The sequence below is a fragment of the Homo sapiens genome, chromosome 9, assembly GCF_000001405.40.
Source record: "Homo sapiens chromosome 9, GRCh38.p14 Primary Assembly".
NCBI lineage: Eukaryota > Metazoa > Chordata > Mammalia > Primates > Hominidae > Homo > Homo sapiens.
In genome coordinates, this window is record NC_000009.12 from 126,886,248 (window position 1) to 126,893,039 (window position 6,792).

At 48.2% G+C, this 6,792-nt stretch overlaps 1 annotated feature.

Moving 5' to 3' along the window:
- Window positions 141-641: an enhancer, noted in NCBI's record as "H3K4me1 hESC enhancer chr9:129648667-129649167 (GRCh37/hg19 assembly coordinates)". NCBI's record gives its function as "activates a minimal SCP1, AML or CMV promoter by ChIP-STARR-seq in naive H9 embryonic stem cells {active_cell/tissue: H9 hESC(naive)}" and the evidence as "EXISTENCE:reporter gene assay evidence [ECO:0000049][PMID:30033119]".

Consider the following 6,792-nt stretch of genomic DNA (forward strand, 5'->3'; position numbering starts at 1 on the left):
AGGGACCCCTCTTCCCACCAGCAGCCCTCCAGGTCAGGCCCCTCTAACATAGCATTTGTTGAACTGTGTTCCTGCTCTTTGGAGCACCTATTTCAGTTTGTAATAGGATATTCATTAGCGAGATGATTCAGTTAGTATTTCTGCCTCTAACCTGGAGGCGCCCTGACAGCAGGGATTACAAACTCTTTTCTCTCCCTCAAGTATCCTCAGCACAGGACCCGGCACCACAGTAGGCACTCGGCAGTGTTCGTTGAGTGAATGAGCTAATGCGTGTCTCCCGAAGGTCGCACGAGGCAGTGTGGCTGGGATGCAGGCAAGATTGACCTCAGCTCCTGTGGGGCTGCGAGGTGACCTGCTCCTTACCCGTGAGTAACGGCTGCTGTTAAAGCAAATGCTCAGCAGGCCTCCTCTAGGGTGAGATGGGCGGTGATGGTGCACAGCAGGAAAGGTCCGTACAGGAACCAGCTTCACCTGCTAGCTAGGGGCCCGGGGATTCCTGAGGGAGGCAAGGGAATGCTGGAGAAAGTGCATGGGCTAGCATAACTGAAGGCCTGGCTGTCATCCCTGCCTTTGACTGTGACTTTTAGCAAGCCACCTACCTTCGTTAGCCCCAGTTTGACTCTGGTGACTCTGAAATGTGAGGCAATGGCTTCTGATGAATTTGCTTACTCCCTAAGGCCGGAAAAGTAGCGCCACATCAAGAAACGGGCGAGCTTCTTCTCCAGCAGGGTTCGAGGAATATCCCAAGGGCGTGGGGTCCTGGAAATAGGAGCATCAACTGAGGCCAACGCACTGAGTCGGAGCAGATGTTGTGTAGACCGCACTGAACAGCATTGCTGGCAAAGGCCATTGGCAGTCGTTGGCTCATCTTTCATTTGTCCTGATGTCAGACCTATCTTTACTCTGGTTTCTTCCAATTATAATTCATACAATTGTTGGCCAAGCCTGGGTGGCTTCAGGGATGCTTATTAATATTATAATGTCACAGGACAACCACTAATCCCCAATTGTCTGCTAGTCTTCACCTCTGTTTCCTGGACCATTTCCCTCAAGCTCCTCAATCCTCAGTGGCTGTTTTTTTGTTTTTTTTTTTCCTGAGACAGGGTCTTGCTCTGTCACCCGGGCTGGAGTGCAGTAGTGCGGTCACAGCTTTCTGCAGCCTCCACCTCCCGGGCTCAAGCAATCCTTCCACTTCAGCCTCTTGAGTAGCTGAGACTACAGGTGCACGCCACCATGTCTAATTTTTAATTTTCGTAGAAATGGGGTCTCATAACGTTGCCCAAGCTGGTCTCAAACTCCTGGGCTCAAGCGATCCTCCTGCCTCAGCCTCCCAAAGTGTTGGGATTATAGGTGTGAGCCACGTTGCCTAATTTTTTTTGTTGTTGTTGTTTTTAGACGGAGTCTCGCTCTGTCACCCAGGCTGGAGTGCAGTGGCGCGATCTCGGCTCACTGCAAATTCCGCCTCCTGGGTTCATGCCATTCTCCTGCCTCAGCCTCCCGAGTAGCTGGGACTACAGGTGCCCGCCACCACGCCCAGCTAAGTTTTTGTATTTTTAGTAGAGATGGGGTTTCACCGTGTTAGCCAGGATGGTCTCAATCTCCTGACCTCATGATCCGCCTGCTTCGGCCTCCCAAAGTGCTGGGATTACATGCGTGAGCCACCATGCCCAGCCTGATTAATTTTTAATTTTCGTAGAGATGGGGTCTCGCTATGTTGCCCAAGCTGGTCTCAAACTCCTGGGCTCAAGCAATCCTCCTGCCTTGGCCTCCCAAAGTGTTGGGATTATAGGTGTGAGCCACCTTGCCTGGCTCAATGGCACTTATTAAACATCTCCTATGAGGTTTTCCTTTGGTTTTTCACAGCAGACCAACCTTGCACATCTTTTGTCAGCATATGGGGCTCACAACTTCAGAACACAAAAGAAATGGCAGAGAGGCGACGGTGAAGGAAAGGCATTACAGACCACATCAACTTGGGATCATGCATGGACCCTGTGCTGTGTGGTTGCTGTGCTTTGCCTGGCCAAAGATGTACAATAAAGCTCACTGCTCTAGCACTCACTGGTGCCTGCAACACTGGTGTATGTGTGTTTTATTTTTTGAGACAAGATCTGTGTCATTCAGGCTGGAGTGCAGTGGTATGATTGTGGCTCACTGCAGCCTTGACCTCCCTTGCTCAATTGATCCTCCCACCTCAGCCTCCCAAGTAGCTGGGAGTGTGGGCACAGACCACCTCACCTCGCTAATGTTTTAATTTTTTTGTAGAGACAGGGTTTTGCCATGTTGCCTAGGCTGGTCTTGAACTCCTGTGCTCAAGTGATCCTCCTACCTCAGCCTCCCAAAGTGCCCCGCTTATGTGTGTATTTTAGGTGTACAAATGAGAGTGAAGGTCATTTTGAATTCTGTTCCCTTTCCCGGAGTGCTAGAAGTAGAAGGGGAAGACCTTTGCAGTTTCCTAACAGTGGGAGAAGGACCTCACGGGTGAGCTACTACCTGGCCTGCCAGTACTGGGGCTCCTATAGTTGTCCACATAAGTAATCTCCAGTTATGGAAACCAGCTGCCTCCCAAGGGACTCTGCAAATTTGACAGCTTTGGATGAGCCCCAAATCAGCCTCCCTGGAGCTTGCACCCCTGCTCTCTGTTCTACTCCATGGGACCACAGTATGTTTTAAATCTTCAGTGATGGCTGGGCACGGTGGCTCACACCTGTAATCCCAGCACTTTTGGAGGCCGAGGCGGGCGGATCACGAGGTCAAGAGATCAAGACCATCCTGGCCAACATGGTGAAACCCCATCTCTACTACAAATACAAAAATTAGCTGGCGTGGTGGCGTGCGCCTGTAGTCCCAGCTACTCAGGAGGCTGAGGCAGGACGCTTGAACCAGGGAGGCGGAGGTTGCAGTGAGCCGAGATTGCGCCACTGTACTCCAGCCTGGCGACAGAGCGAGACTCCATCTAAAAAAACAAAAACAAAAACAAACAAACAAAAAAATCTTCAGTGACAATATCCAGTCTGTCCAGCCCTCTCTTTGGGCTTCCCTAGGCAAAATGTGTCTCTGGGCTATCGCCTTTTCCCTGGAGTCCAGGCTTGGGGACAGATTTGCCCTTTCTCTCTGCCCACCGCCCCCCACCCTCCAGTTTAGGGACCTGTTTCCAACAGAATTTTCTTGGAACCAAGGTGGTGGAACCCATAACTTGGAGGAACACTTTTTGGCCAGCAAATTACTTTTATGTGACTGTTATTTTAACTAGCCTGTCTCTGCCAGATGATCTATTCATCACACATCTGGGGCCCAGGTGCTGTTTTCAGGGGTTTTTCTAAATCCTTTTTTCCCTCTTCAGCCCATTCCCTCTCTCCCCTTCCCTCTCCAGATATTCAGGTGAGAATCAGAAGCCAGCCATCACCTTTACTTTGAGAAATCTGGGCTCTGAGCGTCTTGCATCTGAATTTCCCCCAGGCCTCTCATGCCATCCATTCCCTTTGAGAGCTTCCTCCCGCTTCGATCACTGATTCTACCTGCTCTCCAGGGCGCTCTGGCTTCCTCGGGGAGCTGGGTCTCAGATCCCAGGCGCTGGTGCCACCTCAGGTTGGCACCAAGGCTGGGAAAAGGGTTTCCTGCCTTGCCTGGTTATCACCTTTGCAGAGGGAAGGCACTTGGGCCAGTTGCTAGTCTCACCCTCCTCCTCTTTGCCTGTTCATCATAGTGGCTTTTCCACGTTCTGGCCTCTCTCTCTCCTTCTTGCCCGCTGTGCCCTGATCAGGCTGGTGGTAAAATGGGAATGTTACTAGGTTCAATAGCTAAACTACTAGTTCCCTTCTTTTCTTCCACTGTGTGTCCCTCCCCCGACCTTCCCCCAGAACGGGCCTCCAGGAACCTTCTGCCACCAGGCTCTGTTGAAAGGCCCCACTTCCGACAGTGGTCAGGGGATGGCCAGCTGCAGGCCCTGTGAGTATTAAAGCCTTCCACCGTGAAGATAAAGCCGCAACTCTCTGTGATTGTACCTGTGGAAGTGGTTCCCAGGCCAGCACCCCTATGAAGTGTCAGGCATTATGTGAATAGAATGGTCTGGCCCAGCTGGAAAGGGTTGAGTCGTTCCCTTCCTGGGGGCTCTGTGTGGAAGATAAGGTCCACAGAACCTCATCAACTGCCCCCACAGGGCTGGCAAAGGCCTGGCAACCCTGAGAGATCTCAAGAGGGCAGAGGATTCAGGAACAGGGTATTCTGCACCTGGGACTTGCCCTGGGCACAAAGATGACCACTCACTTGGGTCCTGGAGGGCAGAATACAGGGAGAGCCAGTGCACACCTCCTGTAAGTGGAGGCCTCAGCCTAGGGCTGAGATTGCCTGGGGCTAGTTTGGAGGTCCCTTGAGAACTTATATCCTGCTGGAGGGAGGAGGGACCAGAAGAGGCCTAGTCTGAGGGAGGAGGCCCCGCTAGGTGAAGAGAGAACAGGCCCGTGAAACAAAATTCTGGTGAATTAAACTGTTAATTATAGAAAAATGAAGCCATAAACTAGTTTTTAAAACATTTTATTTATGTATTTTTATTTTTATGTTTTGAGATGGAGTCTCGCTCTGTCGCCATGCTGGAGTGCAGTGGTGCGATCTCGGCTCACTGAAACTTCCACCTCCTGGGTTCAAGAGATTCTCCTGCCTCAGCTTTCCGAATAGCTGGGACTATAGGAGTGCACCACCATGCCAGGCTAATTTTCGTATTTTTAGTAGAGATGGGGTCTCACCATGTTGGCCGGATGGTCTTGATCTCCTGACCTCGTGATCCACCTGCCTCAGCCTCCCAAAGTGCTGCGATTACAGGTGTGAGCCACAGTGCCCGGCCTATTTTTTATTTTTATTTTTTGGAGTTGGAGTCTTGCTTTGTCACCCAAGCTGGAGTGCAGTGGCATGATCTCGGCTCACTGCAACCTCCACCTCCCCAGTTCAAGTGATTCTCCTGCCTCAGCCTCCCAAGTAGCTGGGACTACAGGTGCGCACCACCATGCCTGGCTAATTTTTTTTTTTTTTTTTTTTTGTATTTTTAGTAAAGGTGGGGTTTCACCATGTTGGCCAGGTTGGTCTCGAACTCCTAACCTTTTGATCTGCCCACTTCGGCCTCCCAAAGTGCTGGGATTACAGGCGTAAGCCACTACTCCCGGCCTAGTTTTTTTTTATTTATTTTATTTTTTTAAAGGAGTTGAAGATTTACTTGCTTTTGCAGTAGGGAAGATATTATTAAGGATAAGACCAAAAAGAAGAAATCCTAAGGGGAAAAATAGATTTGACTATATACAATGTAAAATGTGTTTAGTAAAAGCAAAGCAAAAAAACCCCACATAATTGAAATGAAAACTACACATTTAAGAAAAAAAAAACTTTGCAACATATAGAACAAAGAGTTTGTAAAATTAATAAGAAAAAAGATGAATACTCCCATTTAAAAGGGGAAAGAACATGAAGCAATCCACAAAAGAAATACTGAAGGCTAATAAATATAATCCGTGGTAAAGGTGTTTTACCTCACTAGAAAACAAAGCAGCAATGAAAGCCAGTTTTCCTACCCATTCAGTTGGCAATACCCAGCATTGACAAGGGTAGGGGAAAATGGGACATTCTTATCCTGCTGTTGGAAATATAAGCTGGTATAACGAGTTCTGGAAGGTAATTTCGTATCATGTTTCAAAATTGTAAATGTATCACTCCCTTGATATAGCAGTACTACTTTTAAGAATTCAATCTAGGAAGATACTCTAAGTAACTGAAGATGTACAAATGTATTCATCCTAGTGTTGATTATAATATTGAAAAGTTGGAAGCCACTATAATGTCTATCTATAAATCTGGTACATTCCTACAATGCTATAGTAGGGAGTCATTAAAAATAATGTTGTAAGCTCGGCACGTGGCTCATGTCTGTAATCTCAGCACTTTGTGAGACCAAGGTTGGAGGATCACTTGAACCCAGGAGTTTGAGACCAGCCTGGGCAACATAGCAAGACCCCATGTCTACAATTAATAATCATGATAATAAAATGACTTATACATGTGTAAATAAACTTGTATGGCATGGGGAAATATCCATGATGCACTGTTGAGTGTGGAAAAGCAACTTAAAAAAGAACCTGTGTTGTGTGAGACTATTTAAGTCAAAGCATACACATGTGGTCAGGTGCAGTGGCTTATGCCTGTGATCCCAGCACTTTGGGAGGCCAAGGTGCATGGATTACTTGAGGTCAAGATTTCAAGACCAGCCTGGCCAACATGGTGAAACACTATCTCTACTAAAAATACAAAAATTAGCTGGGCGTGGTGGTGCACACCTGTAGTCCCAGCTACTCGGGAGGCTGAGGCAGGAGAATCGCTTGAACCAGGCAGTCAGAGGTTGCAGTGAGCCGAGATCGCACCACTGCGCTCCAGCCTGGTGACAGAGTGAGACTCCATCTCAAAAAAATAAAAAATAAATAAAGTATACACATGTATATGCAAGATATGATGTTATATTACATAATGTATAAATAATGGTCTCTATATTGGATACCTATGGGCATCTTTTTTTTTCTTTTGGAGACCGAGTCTCGCTCTGTTGCCCACACTGGAGTGCAGTGGAGTGATCTCGACTCACTGCAACCTCTGCCTCCCGGATTCAAGTGATTCCACTGCCTCACCTTCCTGAGTAGCTGGGATTACAGGCACGCACCACCACACATGGATAATTTTTGTATTTTTAGTAGAGACGGGGTTTCACATTGTTGGCCAGGCTGGCCTCAAACTCGTGACATCAGATGATCCACCTGC